The 18,784-nt window shown below is 32.5% G+C and overlaps 1 protein-coding gene across 55 annotated transcripts in view; it reads left to right on the forward strand.

Moving 5' to 3' along the window:
* The window catches only part of RALYL (RALY RNA binding protein like), a 739,058-nt gene that overhangs the window by 344,047 nt on the left and 376,227 nt on the right, over positions 1-18,784 (forward strand). For 52 of the 55 annotated variants that reach the window (NM_001413301.1, NM_001413300.1, NM_001354325.2 and 49 more), the window contains one exon: positions 2,466-2,744. The exons of the other annotated variants lie outside the window; for them this stretch is intronic. In NM_001413301.1, the coding sequence (NP_001400230.1) occupies positions 2,466-2,744 (279 nt within the window). The remainder of the gene's footprint in view (positions 1-2,465; positions 2,745-18,784) is intronic. 55 annotated transcript variants of the gene reach the window in all.

The raw sequence follows: 18,784 nt of genomic DNA on the forward strand, positions 1-18,784 counted from the left end.
ACTTTCCTTGTCTCTTCTTTCTCAGATGTAATGGCTCTGTACTGCCTGTAGTTTAATGTCTTAAAAACAGTTGCTTCATCTATATTTCCCTGGTTTTCTATTTCTTTGAGTCAGGAGGGTTAATTTAGTCACTGTTACTCCATCGTGGCTGAAAGTGGAAGTCTTTCTTCAACTGATGTAAAAGTTTATGTAATAGAAAAGATATTAAACTATGAATTGAGGCCTAACTTTTAGAGAATGTTGAAATGACAGAATACAATACTACAACAAAACTTACTCTTATAAACACTGATAGAAACTGACAAGTCGGTGGTTGTGAAGAAAATTAGATATATAGATATGTATAGATTTTAAGGTAAGTAAGAGTTATTAATTAGAATTACACAGTTGTCAGTTTGGAGGTACAGGTATGAGTGTCATCTACACAGAATAAAAGAACAGAGCAGAGTCCAAGATAGCATGTTGACATTCACAGTGAGGATTCAGAGTACAGCTGTACCCTCGAATTAAATTTGACCAAGGGTTATCAATGGCAGACCACCGGGCTCTGTAAACCACAGGTCTGATCTAATCTAGCAATTCTTGTGTTTGCATTTTAACCAATGTATATCTGTCCAGGAAATAAAATGTCAACTATAAGAATTGTTTACCCTTGAAAATAACTCTATGGTGTTTCTAAAAATATATGTCACATGAGATCACAAACAAAGTAGTATGCTTTCTGTGGATTGTATTACTGGTGTTGGCTTGGAATGGTAAGAAAGGAAACTGACTCTAAATTACCTATCTTGATTTTTCTTGTTTCATTAATTCTCAGAGCATTTGTCTTGAGATATACAATATCTCAAATTGCAAGATAAAAAAATATATATCAACTTTTCTTTCTTCAACTCTACTTTGAATAATTCATAAAGGAACCACTTAAAGGTAGCTAATCTGAATCAATACAAGGCAGTGTTATAATCTTTGTTTCTAATGGTGTTTTACTCTTAATTTTTATGTAAATAACTGAATGTATTGTTTATTAAACTGATCTTCATTATAAGGAGATATTTATAATGTTGGCTGTCCAATATGAAGTAAAGCTTTAAAAATCCCAGATGTAATATTGAACAACTTAATTTGAAACATTTTATGCTACTTGGTTGCTCTTGATTTCAGGAGTATCTGTTTTAAATGCATAATAAGTACATTTTCAAGCATATCCAATTTACATGCCTTAAAGACTTCCACCGCCTTAATGCTTAATTTAGAAATATCATTTTAAATGATTCTTAAAAATCAGATGCACTTATTTTTGTAGCTGTAATATTTTAAGAGAGCCTTCATATAAAAATATAGTTGTCACTGACAAACTGTATCAATTAGCTAATGTTCAACAATGATCATCAATGTCAGGGACTGTTACCTTGTTGAAATTTTAGTTTAGCCTTAATGGTGTCTATAAATTAATAGGTACTGTAAATGATGCATGACAAAAAATGGGTTGTTAGCAAATGTTGTGGAAGGAAGAAAGGAAGGAAAGAAGGGAAGGAAGGAAGGAAGGAATTTTCAAGGCCTTAAGAATAAATCTATATGTGCTGGAATACTTAGAAATAAAAGTTTTGTTTAATTTAATTAAACACAGATATTCTACCAAGCTCACAAAATGATTTTTAAAAATACTAGCAATCATTAGGCAACATAGGAGCCTTTAGTTAAGTGAATTAGAAAGTGAAGTTAAGAATAAAATTTCAACAGTTACCTAATCTACTAATTTGCTGATCATTGATGAACACTGGCTCTTATGTTTTGTTTTGTTTTGTGTTTTTATGAAGCTGACATGTACTATTGGTTCAAATAAATAGCATATATAGTATTCTGGCTAAGTCGCTTATTTTTAAAATTGTGGTTTTCTTATGTTAAATTTTTGAATTGAATTTCTAATACCATTTTTCCTTTTCCACAGCCTTTAATGGAACAAATTGTTAGTTTCTGACAGAAGGGTTCTGATGTTGAAATAGACAGTATGTCTACCTATTACAGAAATATAGAAATAAAAATGCATGTACTCAAACAGAAGATGGAGGTTACATTTCTTTATTACATCTATCATCAGACCTTAGCCATGTTGGATTTTTGGTTGCTGTTGATAGAATAAGGCAGATTTTCCTCAAACTTTCTTTTGCAAAATAGTTAGACTTAAATATAAAAACAACTGCAAAATATTCAGTCATTAACAAATCAAGAATCTTTATAACTGAATGTTAAGTGATTATGTTTTTTCTACTGTATTTAGCAATGCAATACTTACCTTTTATATTACTAAATATATTAATTTTATTCTCAAGAAAATCATTAATACTTAGGGATTGGAGGTTTCCTGAGTGTAATATTGAAAAACTGTTAAAAAGCCACTGATACCCATTCGATCTAATGATTTACCTTTTGATTATTTGTTTTGTTTGTTTGTTTGTTTGTTTAAGGATTAAAGCAAGGAGAGCCAATCATGACTGGCAAAACACAGACCAGCAACGTCACCAATAAGAATGACCCCAAGTCCATCAACTCCCGTGTTTTCATCGGCAATCTAAATACGGCAATTGTCAAGAAAGTTGACATTGAAGCCATTTTTTCAAAGTATGGAAAAATAGTTGGATGTTCCGTTCACAAAGGTTATGCATTTGTACAGTACATGAGTGAGCGACATGCAAGAGCTGCAGTGGCTGGAGAAAATGCCAGAGTCATCGCCGGCCAACCACTTGGTAAGTCATGCTCAGACATGGATCTCACGTTATTGTTCATATATCTGGAAATTGTTTTATTTCACAAAACCCAACACCACTGTTGTTTCTACCTCTTCTTTAACCAATTAGAGTGATTTTATATTTATTATTTATATTTTTTCATCCTCATATTGTTTTGTATATAGGTATCTTATTTTCTGTACAAATTTATAAATTTGAGATCAAGGCTACTTTGCAATACTTATTACCTCCACCCATCCTAACACAGCCAGGCAAATAATAAATATGCATCAGGTTTAACTTTATTTGACTTGAGATAGCATCTGTCTTCCAGGAAACACTATCCTATGCAAAAAATAACTTCACTTGTCATACTTATAGCATTTGATCTGAGCCTAATGCATTTTCCTCATTTCCTATGTTTTGGAGGAGAAGGGGTAGAAAATAGCGAAAGAAAGTAAATTTTTAGAATGGGGAAAGGAATATAATTCACATTTTAAAAATCTAGTTAAGGATTTTGTGTATTATACCTGTATAATCATGCATAATAATCAGATTTCTGTCTAATGTTCAAGAAATAATATAGTTTTTTTCAAAGAAAGGAAAACAATGCAGTCTGAAATAAAAAGACTTGGAAAAATATTTTATAATTAATGTGTAGATAAAAATCAAAATTAGATAATTATTTAGATGTTTTTCTACCTTAGGAAAAAAATATGGTTAATATATTAATGATTCCTCAATTTATGTTTCTTGTTCTGTCTAGATTAATATATCAAACTCATTGTACAGCATCTTCTCATGGATACTCAAAAGGCATTTCAGCTTCATATGCCCAGAACAAAACCCATGATTTTCCATACCCTCAACCTTCTCCACTCCCAAATTTCCTCATCACAATAAAGGGAACCCCCAATTTATCCAGTTTAAAAAAAAAAAAAAACTTTGATTCTTAACTTCCCCCATCATCAAGTTCGCTTGTCAATATATTACAAATATAGTCCAAACCCAATCTCCTTTTAAATGTGTGCTGAAGGCCATCTCATACAGCCCATGGTTGTATCTCAGGGGCACTGAAATAACTCCCTAGTTGGTCCGCTTCTTTTTACTCTTGCCAGAGTGTCTTTTAAAAACATTGATCAGATTATGTTCTTAACCTGCTTTTAAACCTCTAATGCCTTTCTCATACAGAATAAGATTCACATTCTATACCATACCTACAATGCCCTATACTGCCACATCTTCAATTCTATCTCCTTATTCTCTCTCCCTTCTTGAACCACTCTAGTAATGCTGGCTGCCTTGATAATGCCTCAAGCATTCCAAGATTGTTCCTACTTCAGAGGCTTTGTATTTGCTATTCCCTCTGCTCAGACAACAGGTCTTTGCTAATTATTTGCTCCTTTCTTTAGAGTGTGCTGTGCTAAAAATTTACCTCCAGTGAGAGGCCTTTACTGACCAGCCTATCTAAAATAGAATAGTCATCTTCCTCCTTCTTTCACTGTCTATTCTATTACTGTGTGTTAATTTTTTTCATAGCACCTATCAGAATCTGGATTACATAGTTCAATTTATAATCTTACCTGTGTCATGACCACAAATATAAAGATGAAGAAGCATACAAAAGAAGCAAGTTAAAAGTATAGAGAAATCAAGCTAGGAGAGTGTTAAGAATATTGTGAATATTATCAAATGATATAACACAATTAAAACTATTTGGGAAGGTATGAATTCATTAAAATGTAGGAGAAGTCAGAGGGAATAGTCTTGAGGGAAAAAAGCAAAAGATGTTTTGGGTAAGTGCCTGATATTTAACTGCAAACAAATCACTATCAGATAGGAATATAGTTTTTATTTACATTGGTCCCATCGAACTTTCTATATTTTAAAGAAAGGAAAGAAAGGAAGTGCTTTCCAACAGACATTGGTATATTTTCCACTTGTCTTTTTGTTTTCCTTAATGTCTCCATTCTGCTTGCTTACTTTGATATGGGAATTTTCTGACATTTGTGTTTTCCTTTTTAAGTTGAAAGTCTTAATTCAGGGCCATATCCCAGCAGATTTCAGGGCAAGCTCTATTTACTGTCTGTATCCTGATTGTTATGAAACTAACAAATACTTGAGGAAATGCATTTAATTATTTTTGTTGTTTGAAAAATTAATTATCAGTTTAAGATCAATTAAAAGCCTGATTCACTTTTTAATGAGCTACAGCTAATTTTCTGGAGTTCTGTTTCCTATCACTACTCAGTTGATTGCTGTCTTTTTGAGAAGAATGCAATGGGCAAAGATAAATACCACACTAAAAATGTAGTGCCTTACATGCACAAACCCAAGGAAAAAAATGATGACACCAAATTGCTTTGCTTTGAGAGGCACAAAGTTAAATTGTACCTCTTCTAAGATACCATTTCTCATTCTCAGTCATTCCTCTTAGATCCTCTCTTAGTTTTGTCCTCAGGTAAATCTTTAGAGCATATATCCTAATCATCTATAATCACACTTTGTGCCTGAAACCAAGTCTTAGACTTTATTTCTTTAGTTCAAATCTCGTCTTTCACTACCTCTGTCCAAGCTGAATGACTTCATACAAAGCAAGTACATTAAAATTTATCTAACAACTTTGCTTTTCAGGTCAAGTGCTTGAATATACCCAGCGGTTTTTTTGTTTGTTTGTTTGTTTTTTACTATGTTGCTAGAAACTCAGGCAAAGACATGACTTCCAATTGTTCCCTATAGAAGTTAGTTCATCCATCAGGTCCCGAAGAAGACCCTCAGTTTGTAGGATGTATATACATTTCTAGCTTTAAGTATTATACCTTTGTTTTTGATGATTTGAGCAAAACTTAGGTTCAAGTATATTAATCACTTGCTTCTTGAGTTTTTTGATTCCCAAGTAAACTCTTTCTAATCTGCCCTCCAACAAACCCCGGCCAGTTCTTAATATGAAGTGCATTTTTATGGATGAAATAATAGGCTATTATTATATGAAGTTATTATTAGTGTCAGGTACCACGACCTATCTAAGCATTCTCCTTTCTCTTAAGAGTGAGAAGGAAATTAATATTGATTAGATCATGCACTGCATTAGTACTTTACCTTTATTACCTTATTTGATCTCAAATAATGCATATTTGTACATCATTTTCTGAAAAGGAACAATCTTTTATTTACTGCATGTTTAAAATATTTATATATGATTTAGAGATTAAAAATTAAACATCAGTAGTACCAGGAAAAATTAAACACTCTAATGTCAGTTCTTAAAGTTTTATGAAGACTATAGATAACTTGGCCATAATTTAATTTACTTTCTTATACATTTCCAGTTGTTTGGCACGTCTTTCGCACCATGATAGAGGGTATCCATGTTTATTCTTAGCTTCTGTCTTTGATATATAATAGAAGACTGCTAAAACCTCTGTGGAAAAACAAAAAAGATTGCATTTTGACTCATATTACTTAGGGATTCCTAAAATGTCAGAATCTATCTATGAAATTATTCATTATTCAGAATTTTTTTAAATCACAATTCCTATAATGTAAAAATCCTCATAAAACTTTACGTCTATATTTGGTTATTTAATTGATTTTAATACAATTTAAATATAAGCAGGTGAAATTTAACATATCCTCTTAATATTTAATTGAGTTTGAATTCTAAGTTTGTTAATATTGGAAATATTTATTGCATTTTTCAATCTAAGTGTAGTCATTAGAACTTTTTTCCTCAAACACATTATATGCGAGATAAAAACATTTTAAATGCTTAATAGAGACAATTTTTATGAGTAGTCACATACGAAGTGTCCTTTTACACAAAATGTTATGCAGAGGTTAGAGACTAAGACTAGACAGTGCCAATTTTATGTATCTATTGATTACATTGGCTTGATTACAGACATGCTATAAATAAACATTTGCAATGTCTTTCTTTATATTCGGATTATTTTACTGTTACAATGCTTGTAAAAGATACAATTTATGAACTTGAGAAGCCAGCTGTGGATAGTAGGAGGAACCAAACACTGAAAAATAATTTATCTAGAGCAATCATTTTTGTTCTGAAACCCATATGCAGGCCCCTGTCCTTAAGAAGCAAAGTGTGCTTTAGGAAAAGAATATATAAAGCAGAGAATTAAATTAATTGTATCACATTGTAAGTGTCTTGCAAATGCAGAAAGAATTCAAAGTGGGAACATGATGAATAGGGATGGTAAATTTTAAAGTAAATATGGTGAATATACTTAACTAGATCCTGAAGGAAGTAATGGAATTGTCTTAGTAGAGAGGAAGATGTTTGAGAGAGATATAAGAACAAAGAAGAGAACATTCAAATGCTTGTAACAATTCCCGTCAAGCATGTGCTGAGAGCAATGGATTTCAAATGTCTTTTCATCCCCAACTGTTTTGCATCCAGAGTGATCTTTTCAAAATGCAAATCTAATCATGTCACTGTCTTTTAAAACTTTCAGGGATTTCTCATTGTTCTCAGAAAAAAGAATGAAACCTTTGCTGTGGGCTACAAGTTTCTACCTCATTTGTTTCTTTGTCACCTGCAGACTCACATCATAGCCCCATCAGCCTTGCTTAGAGCTACAACTACATTCACTTCTTTCAGTTCTTTGAACAACTTGTGTTCTATCGCCCAACAGGGCCTGTGCACATGCTATCTTGACTGCTCAGAAAGTTCTTCCCTATGAAGCTCTGCACCACCTCACCCTACTTCCCCACTTAATCCCTTTTGCCTGGCTAATCATTCTTCAGATCTCAAATGAAATTTCAGTACTTTAGTGAAACCTACTTGTGTCCCTCAAAGCTAGCTGGAGTGTTTTACTTCACTTTCTAGCAAGTATCTTCTTTTCAATTGTATTTTTATATTTATTATTTTGTAATTGATATCTGTCCCTTCTCCCTCTAAGCTATAAGTTTTTTAGGGCACGGAATATATATGTTTTTACTCATCTTCTTAGCACCTAACAAAATGCTAACACTTCCATGGCAAATGCTCAGTGAGGATGTACTGGATGAATGATTGGATAGATGGTTAGTAGGAGGAATGGATGGACTTGGCTAAAGGGGTCCCTCACATGGAAAAGAGCACCACAGGAAGAAGACAAAGAAGCAGGAGGAGGAGAAATAAGAAGAGAACAGGGAGAAGAAGGAAGGAGAAGTGGCAATTACAAGTTCCCCAGAAAGTGAGGCGATATAGTTGGGGTTGCTGCTAAGCGAAGGCAAAGTGATCATGATCAGCTTGCTAAGGAGACTAGGTATTTAATCTTGAAATTCTTCAACAGACATTCCAAAGGTAACTGTTTCGTAGGCCTGATTTCAGTTTTTTATAAATATAATCCAATCTTTAATAAGCATGAAATATTAACACATATATACTTTATTCAAAAGTTAGAGTGAAGGATATATTGGTTTGAAGAAAGATTTCTATTCATGAAAAACTTCCTACACATTCCTTAAAATGTCATCCTTTCATAGTTTTCTCTTATTAATAGCTGGATATTTGCATGGCACTTCATCATTGTCAAAGTTCTTTCATGCACATATTATCTTCTTTGATTTTCACAACAATGCCAATAAATAATATTAGTATTTACGCCCATTCTGCTGGTTAGGAGCCAAAGCACAGAGAAATGAACTTAGTCTATATCACACAAATGGTGGTGCAAGATTGTTGGCTCACATTTTCTGACCGTAATTATTTTTACTATTTCTCTTTCCAGAAATTTATTCCATTTCAGCAGAGTGATCATCAACTCTGTCATCCAAACAGTAATACTTTTGAGAGTAAAAAGTTACTCTCATTGATTTTGCTTTGTTTGTGGAGCCTGTCCTGTGCATGGTAGGATGTTAGTAGCATCCCTGCCTTTTTTTTTTTTTTTGAGACGGAGTCTCGCTCTGTCGCCCAGGCTGGAGTGCAGTGGCGCTGTCTCGGCTCACTGCAAGCTCCGCCTCCTGGGTTCACGCCATTCTCCTGCCTCAGCCTCCTGAGTAGCTGGAGCTACAGGTGCCTGCCACCACGCCCGGCTAATTATTTTATTTTATTTTATTTTATTTTATTTTATTTTATTTTTTGTATTTTTAGTAGAGATGGGTTTTTCACCGTGTTAGCCAGGACGGTCTTGATCTCCTGGCCTCGTGATCCGCCCACCTCGGCCTCCCAAAGTGCTGGATTACAGGCGTGAGCCACCGCGCCCGGCCGCATCCCTGACTTCTACCTGCAAGATACCTATAGTACCCCTTCCAAATAGTGACAGCCAAAAATTGTCTCCATGTTACCAAATGTCTCCTGGGAGGCAAAATCACTCCAGTTAAGAATTACTGTTGTAGGGTAATCATACCAAAATAAACTCCATTAATTTTCAGAATTGTTCTAATGGTCTTAGGATAAACTATATTAAAACAATGCTTTGAATTATTTTGACAGTAACTCATAATTTATAATAAGAATGTATCTTTTCCAATTGTTCAGGAAATAAAACTCAGTAAGTGCGTTTCAGGGCAATTTTAATGTATTCATGACCATAGCTTACCCACTTATATCACCAGTTTGTTACAAAGCCTTCTGTCTCTTCACATCTTTAATACACTGACTTTTAGAGGTGTGATTTTTCTCCGTTAGATCCCTCCATTCAAACATGTCTAATCGCCACTAGAAATGATGAAGAAAAAGAAAGTATCATGGAAGAGTTAAGTGAAAAATACGGAGTACCAAGATTACTCAGAGGCTCAGGACGATCTTCAAATATATATTATTCAACAACAACACTAAAAACTTGTTAAGACAAATACAGAATTGTAGTATCCCTAGTTGATGTTGTCTCTAACAAATACATTAGTTTTACCAAGCATCCATCCTATTTCACTTTGGTAAGTATTATTCTTCTGCATATGCCTCCAGCTTCAAATTAGATGGAGTATCTGAGCATCTAGCAAGGACAGATTGACAGACAGCCTGGGGTGAAATGAGTATGGATAATCATTTTTGACAAAGTAGTCTATCACAGAACCCCTAAAGAAGCACATGAACCTTATGGAGATTTCTAAGTCATGAAAAATCTTGTAGAAAACATCCAAAGAATGCTGCAGGTAATAAATAGCACTTTCAGCAATGCACCATTATGTAATTCTATTACCATTTGGACTGAGAAAAAAGAAGATAATTTTTAGCTTTTGCCTCAGTGTCTAAAGAAGATATTGTTATCATAATTTCTTAACTTGATAGGTTAACAAAACTTCCACTCTCGAAGATACAAATCAAAAGTTAGTGCTTCAGCTACTTTAAATATTCGCTGCAATAAGCATACAAAAATATTTGAATATGTAAATCTTGGAATTTTTCTTAACAACCTTTGAAACTATTCATCATTCTAGCTTTTTCCACTAACTAAACGTTCAACTCATTCCTATATTTTAAACATCCAATTTTCCTACCATATTTTATGTTATACAGATTATGCAAAGTAGTTCATCAATTGCAGAATGCTATGTAGAGATGGCTACTATATTTGTTTTAAAAACTCTATTCAGGGTGTATACGTGCACATGTACCCTAGAACTTAAAGTATAATAAATAAATATATATATTAAAAAAAAAAAAAAAAACTCTATTCACGGGCCGGGCGCAGTGGCTCACACCTATAATCTCAGCACTTTGAGAGGCCGAGACAAGCTGATCGCTTGAGCCCAGCAGTTTCAGACCTGCTTGGGCAACATGGCAAAACCCCATCTCTGCAAAAAATACAAAAATTAGCTGGGCTTGGTGGCATGCACCTGTGATCTTAGCTATTCAGGAAGCTGAGGTGGGAGAATCACCTGAGCCCGGGAAATTGAGGTAGCGGGCTACAGTGAGCTGTGATCATGCCACTGCACTCCAGCCTCAGTGAAAGTGAAATCCTGTCTCAAAAAAAAAAAAAAAAAGTCTGTTCACAAGGCTGTGGAGGGACTTAAATGGTATACAAATGAGTGGGAGTGTGAAAAATTACTTACGAGATGGTATTCAGTACAAATCACTTTTGTTTCATCTTTTCTGAGATTCATAGAAATATATTGCCATCCTGTATCAGTGGCTTGTAGTAATGTTTTTTATTTATATATCATTTTTTCCTCATCAACCTTCTCAAAGAAGATCAAGGTACACTTCATTACATTTTTAAAAAATTATCTTTCCAGCATCCTTCAAGGAAGTTAGATAGTAGATTTAATTAAACTCATTTTACAAATAAGGGGAATTCTATAATGTACTTAAAGAGAGCAGGTTTTATGAAAACAAAAATCTCAGAAATTTCTTCCAATATTGTGCATAATTACTGTAAGTTTCCTTAATTCTACTTCCAAGGTTTGTATGTATGTATGTATAAATCTGGTAATTGTTTAAGAAGTCTTCATCCTCATCTTTCACTGTCATCAATTAATAAGTAATAAAAACAATACTATGTGGGTTATAAAGCACAACAGACATTTAAAGTTTTCAGTAATTAAACAGAGCTACTTAAAATGCTGTAAACAAATGCTAATTAGCAAGCCTCCACGATAGAGTGAATTGTAGAACTAACGGTCTGTCAGCCAGGGAGATACATGGCCCCACATATGATAGAAAGCCCGGGGGATTTGCTTTCTATTTCTAAAATTGCTTATTTGACTCAATCACTGAACCTAAATTAGCGAAAGCAGTGGTAGAGACTGTAAATAATTTTTTTCATTAAAACTATCATTGGAAACTTCTGAGCAACATTTAAAGATTGTATTAGTTCTAACTTGCTTGTTGTTACTTAATTCCTACTACAAAGCTAAATAATATATAAAATAAATAGAAAAAATCAGTGTCTCAAGTTATCCTTTAATGTGGGGAATAAAATGTCTGAAAGTCATTTATGAACTAATTTTAGAATGCTCTACTACTGGAAATATTTATTCTTTCAACACTACATTTGTTGTTTTAGATGCTTGCCAACATATATGTTAAATTCTAAAAGAGAATAAAAACATAGTGCCTCCACCAAAATGAAATAACATAAAATATAAAGTAAAATAATAAAACAAAATAGATTACAGCTCTTGGAAAATATTCTAATTGTGGAGTAAAATATTTATACATAAGATAACATGCAGATGAAGATGATAAATACAAGATAAAGCATGATGTAATACAGATCAAATACCATAAAAGGATGAAGTATTGTAAATTTATTTAAGAAAGGCTTATGCGCCAGTTGTGGAGTAAAATGTTCACCTATAAAACAACACACAATAGGAAGTGGGAAACTCAAGGCATTACGTAACACACATCAAGTGCTACCGGAATTTTAAATAAAAAGTATTATAAGGTTGTTTGGAAATGTGGATTATAATAAGGCCTGTTAGGAAATGTGGATTTGAATTTAACTGTTACTCTAAAATATGTGGCAAACAAATTGAGTATAATCATGAAGAAAATCTTTATAGGCTGCAATTCTTAAGTAATTTTAATTGGAACCAAAACACAGAATTGAAATATAGCTTGCAATGTTTGTGAAAGTTGGTGGTTTCGAGTTAGGCTCAGGACTCACGATTCCTATGTTAGAATCCTAGCTCTCCACTTAGGACATGTGGAACTTTGGACAAGTTACTAAAGGAGCAGCTGCTGTTGTCTTGTCTGTAAAATGTAGGTATCAGAATAGGGCCCACCTCATAGAGTTGTGAAGATTAAATGCATCAATATGTGTAAAATGGTTAAAAACATTTCCTGGGACATACAAAGTGATGTAAAAACCTAAAAGAAGGCAAAAGGGCTAGATATCCAATTAAGTCCTACTGTTTAATGCCTTCTAAAAATGAATTTAGAAAACTGGAGAAACAGGTCCTAGATCTTTAGCTTTTTGAAGGTGTTGGTCGTGTTACAAGAATTTATGTTCTCTGGCTCTAATTTTCTCATTTGTGAGGAAGCCATGGGACTAGGTGATCAGTAAGATCCCAAAAAAGACCAAATAGTCATGATGGTTTCTGCTTTTTCTGTCTTGTTGAAAAAAATCTTTGCCTCTTCTTTGGCCATAAAGACATGCTTCTGTGTTTCCTTGTAAGGGACTTTTGTATTGGTTTTACTATTCACATTTAGACTTTACTACCTCTGGAATTGAATTTTTTGGTATGGTATTTGATAGTGAAAAAGATTCACTCATTTCCATGTGAATATCAAGTAATCCCACAGGATTTGTTGAAGAGACTCTTGTTTTTTAACTGCCCTGAAATGTCTCTCTGAATATATATTAAGTGATCAAGTATACATATATATATATATATATATGTATATATATATATATATATATATGTATATATATGTGTGTGTGTGTGTGTGTGTGTACATGCACAGACATACACACACACACACATGCACATTTTAATTTACATGTAATTAAACGTATGCTGCAAATATGATATTGTAAATAATACTGATAAATACTGTAAATGACACCATTTTGGACATATTTCCTAATTGTTTATTCCCGGTCTATTTATTGATGTATTTATGACCTTCTAAAATCACGTATTAATTTTAAGCTTACTCTAGATTTTTAAACCAGTGTATGTGTACAACAATGTCTCTTGCAAAAAATTGAGTTTTATTTATTATCTTCCAATACGTACTCATTTCTTTCCTTGCTTATTCTAGAATAATATTGAAGAGCAATCATGATGGTAGGTAGCTTTGTCTCATTACGTGAGAAACCTGTTAATATTTTGTTATTATTGTTTATCATAGGATTTGTGTGTGTGTGTGTGTGTGTGTGTATGTGTAAACTTTCTATTAAATTAAGGAAGTTATCTTCTATTTCTAGTTGGCTAACAACTTTTACCAGGAAATCATGATGAATTTTATCAAGTATATTTCATGCACGCATTCAAATGAATTTTTATTTTCCCTTTTATTCTGTTAGTGTGATGAACTACAACAATTGATCTTTGATTGTGAAATCAGTCTCATACTTCTGGAATCAACCCATCATGATAAAAAAAAGTGTTGTCTTGTGTGTTTTTTTTTAACCTCTATGTTCATGATAAACTATTGGCTTATAATATTTTTTCTGGTTATGTCCATGCCATTTGTACTGTCGAGGAGATGCTGGCCTCATAGAACAAACTAGGAAGCATTCCTACTTTTCCTGTTATCTGGAAGAATCTGCATGTGATTGGTAACATTTCATAACATTTGGATAATCCATCAATGATGCCAATTGGGTCTGGAATATTTTGTGGAACTATCTTTAATACAGATCTAATTGCCTTCATTGAAAAGTACTATTGAGATTTTTAAAATATTTTCTTGTGTCAGTTATGGAAAAATGAGTTTTCAAAAAAAAGTGTACATTTGATACACATTATCAAATATATTAGCATAAGATTAAGAACTTTAAGCTATGTCTTTTTGTTTTTTTAATCAGAATAGTGATAATTTTTCCCTTACCTCTTTCATTTTAAGTCAGATTAGTCATCTATTCAAACACCCAAATTATGGCTTTGTGTATTTTCTCTATGGCATGTTTGTTTTTGCTTCATTACTCTGGAATAATATCCTTTTTTTTTTCTTCTACACTTTGTGGGTTTAATTTGCCACTCTTTTCCTAACTTCATGAATGAAGACATAGATCATTGATTTTTAGCTTCTCATGTTTTCTAAAACAGCATATAAGTCTGTAATTCTCTCTGAGCACAGTCTCAGCCTCATCCCACATGTTCTAGTATGTCATATTTTCAGAATCATTTAGTTGATAAATATTTTCTAGTTCATGTCTATATTTCTTCTTTGACCATGGGTTATTGAGAGGTTTGTTACTGACATTATAATTTTAAAAATTGATTTTAGCTTAATTTCACTGTAACCAGAAAATAATATATAATAAAATTAATTAAAATTCAATGAGAACTTTTAAATAGCCCTAGATATGGTCAGTTTTAGTTAGTGTTCTATATGCAGTTGACACACAGTACATATATTCTATTGTTGTTCTGGGTATCCTTCTTTATATGTCAAACAGGCAAAAATCGCTAACTGAATTACTCTGACCTTCCGCATCGTTACTGATTTTTGTCCTCTTTTCCATCAGTTATTAATAGATGTGAATTACGATTATGGATCTTTCTGTTTATCTTCTTAGTTCTTTATTTTGTTTTATATATTTGAAGCAATATTTAGTAAATACAAACTTGGAATTGGTGTATCTTCCTAATGTAGTCATCCTTTCATATAGTATGATATATCTATATCTTTAGTAATTATTTCTGTCTTAGAGAAAAGCTTGGTTTAATCTTAATATTCCTTAACTCACTTCCTCTTGATTTGTGTTTGTATGGTATATCATTTTTCATCCGTTTTAATTTCAGTGATCCTGTGTCTTAATATTTAAAGTGTTCTTGCAAGGAACATAGAATCTTCCAAATACAGTAGGACAACCTTTGTTTTTTTAATTCTAATAACCTATTCACATTTAATTGCGGTTATATTTGAATTTGTGTCTACAAGTTTGCTGTTTTTTAAATTTGTTCCATGTACTGCATGTTCATTTGTGGCCATTTTTAGATTAATGTTTCTTTTATTGTTTTGCCGTTTCCACTCTGTTAGCTCCTAAGTTCTGTATACTTTACTGTATACATCTCAGCTTATACCATTTTACTTTTTTTATACATCATCCGTTTCCTCCTCAGTACCTGGATTGTTTTGAAGTAAATTCCAAATCTCAGATTACATCATTTAATCTGCAAATATTTCAGCATGCATGTGTGTATATGTATAATATATGTTTCAGCATATATGTATATATGTAAATACATACATTATAATTTCTTAAATAACCACAATATTATTATCTGATACGGTTTGGCTGTGCCCCCACCCAAATCTCATCTTGAATTGTAGTTCTCATAATCCCCATGTATTGTGAGGGGGACCATTTGGGAAGTAATTGAATCATGGGGGGCAGTTACCCTCATTATGTTCTCACAAGAACTGATGGTTTCATAAGGGGCTTTTCCCCCTTTTGCTTGCCACATCTTGCTGCCACCATGTGAGGAAGGCTGTGTTTGCTTTTCCTTCTGCCATGATTGTAAGTTTCCTGAGGCTTCCCCAGCCCTGAGGAACTGTGAATGAATTAAACATCTTTCCTTTATTAATTACCCAGTCTTGGATATTTCTTCATAGCAGCATGAGAATGGACTAATACATTATCTCACTGAATATAATTGCTGTAATCCCTTAGTGTAAATCTAGTAACAATCGTGTTTTCACAGTTCCCTCTCATAATCATTTAATTAATTTGTTTGAATTGAAATTCATAAAAGATACAGAGATTGAGATTCATTGACACGTCCCTTAAGTCTCTTAGTTTAAAAGCTCTCCTAATATATCCCACATCCCCTTGTATTTTATGTTGAAATACATTTTGACTCCATTGAAAGAACAAAATCATTTGTCCTATATAATTGTACAGGTCTACAGTTTGATTATTGCATCCTTCTGGTATCATTTAACTTGCTTCTCTGTGTTTCTTGTACTTCCTGGAAATTATTAATTATATCTAGAGGCTTGATTAGATTCAGGTGGAATTTTTTAAAGATTTATTCCTGGTGACTGTGAACTTCCATCAGAAGGTACATGTCTGATTTTCTCTCCTTTTTTGGTGCTAACAGCCAGTGAATATAAAATTCACTCCTGTCTTTTTTATTGTTTTTTTTTGCTGGAATTATTCTAAAAAGAGAAATATTTTTCATTACATATTTGATTACCATGAATTATGATTGTATAGAAAAATAAAGTAACTTACTATTTCCCCTTTATAGTAGTATTCAAAATAGTAAAGTGGTGGTGTATCACTTTACAAAATCTCACAAATCACCACTAAAGAACTTATTTATGTAACCAAATACCATCTGTTCCCCAAAAATCTATGGAAATAAAAAAAATAAAAAAAAACAACTTAGTAAAGTGGTTTCCTAGTATTTTCTAAAGACTAAAAATGAGTTTTAAAATATTCTTAATAATTTTATGAGCTCAGGGATTAAACATAGTAGATATATTTCAGTACCTTGCCATTATCTCAATTAATGGTCAAATTATTATGACTTTGGCTTTGACACCATATTTATGTTGGTTTCTGGGTCGTTTTGACATAACTCTAAGAGTCTTTGATAGTTTCCTTTATTTCTGATATGACAAAATGTTTCTGAGTCATAATTTCCTGCCCCATGTTGGGAATCAACCAGTTCTCTAAAATACTCTGGTATCATTTATTGGGGAATACTATTTAGATCCAATATTCTGGGTGCTAAGAAAGCTCATTAACCTCATCAATCTTACAGTGACATCGATCAGCATTGTCAGAAATATCACTTCTCAATGACACTATTATGACTGCTCATTTGCTTTATCCCACAATACACCTATAAGTCTCAGAAAAACAGTACCACCAGCACCAACATCATTATGATATCTGAAAAGAGTTTAATAATTTTTTATTTGAGGGCTGCAGAATATTCCAGAGAATATTCTGTTAGGTAAGAACAACAAAATTATTATGTTTTAAAGTCACTTGGAGTGGTTCTCCTCTGTGAGGTTATGTCACCAAGTAAATACACAGTTTTAATGTTTGATTATTATACTTGCTTTTCTTTAATTTTTTACAACCATATATGATACTTACACGATTCCAAAATCAAATTAAAAATATATATATTCAAAGAAATTTAGCTTTTTTTCCCTCTGCTATCCTCTCTCTCTTCCCACTTGTAAACTTTTATTTTTTTAAAAATCTAATCTATTTTTCTATCTACATACTCTCCATTTTAGATAAATCATGATGTGTTAAACATACTTTTATCCATGTCAGATTTTTTATTTGTCTTTTCTTGTAAAAATTTCATATCTTTTGGAGATACTCTCTTTTTATCATTGCATAGTATTCTATTGTGTAGATGCTCCATGTGCCATAGTTTATTAAACCAGACTACTGAGGTGATGACTGACCTTCAAATGTTTCCAGTCTTTTCTTATCATTAGTTACACTGCAGAAAATAACCTGATGAGTATGCTCTTTCATATTTTACATAGGGTACACTGAGATAGATTCCAAGAAATGAGTGTGGGATCAAATAGTAAGAACATATTACATTTTGCCAGATATTTTCAACTATCTATCATATTATTCAACTTCACATTTTATCATGCAATGTTTGACAGCATCTGTTTTCCATATATTCCATATATCCATATATTTGGAATATATTTTACAACACAAAATATATTTGTAAAACTTGAATTTTTCCCCATCTGATGGATGATGATAAGTAGTATCTCATATAGTTTTAATTTGTATTTCTCTTATTATAAGTGAAATCAGTTGTATTTTTCTTATACATTAAGAAAATAATTAAATTCATTAACCTTTTCACTGTTGCTCCTTGAATCATATTTCTGAAAAAAATTCCCACTTCTAACATCTATAAAAACTTGCCTTTTTTTCTCCTCATGCAGTTTATGTCTCTTATCCATGTGGAATTTACACTGATATGCAATATAAGAAATTGATCAATTTTTTACCATATCCATACAGTTATCCAGCTACACCATCATCACTTATTTTATAATCCATCTTTTCCTCTATAGTTTAAAATCCTGCCTGTGTGGTATTTAAAATTTCCGTAAGCAACCAGTTCTATTTTTGGATTTGCTTTTCTGTTCCATTGGTCTGTCTGAACTAAAACCTGTCAATACTAAATGATTTTCATTGGAGAAGAGTAGTTTTATCATCTGGCTGGACAGTCCTACTCCATGCTGTTCTCTTTCAAAACTGTCCTCTCTGTACCTACTAGATTTTTCTTTCAAATAAAATTTTTATTCAAAATTTTTAGATACAGAACAATATTATATTCTAATTGGGCTTGCTTTAAATTTGTAAATAAACATAAAGGGTTGACAACTTTGTGATATTGGAACTCTGCAACTAAGTACATAATATGTATTTCCATTTGTCCAGATCTACTTTTGTGTCTTTTGGAAGTGTTTTATGGTTTACTTCATG

This window comes from Homo sapiens, chromosome 8 (assembly GCF_000001405.40).
Source record: "Homo sapiens chromosome 8, GRCh38.p14 Primary Assembly".
NCBI lineage: Eukaryota > Metazoa > Chordata > Mammalia > Primates > Hominidae > Homo > Homo sapiens.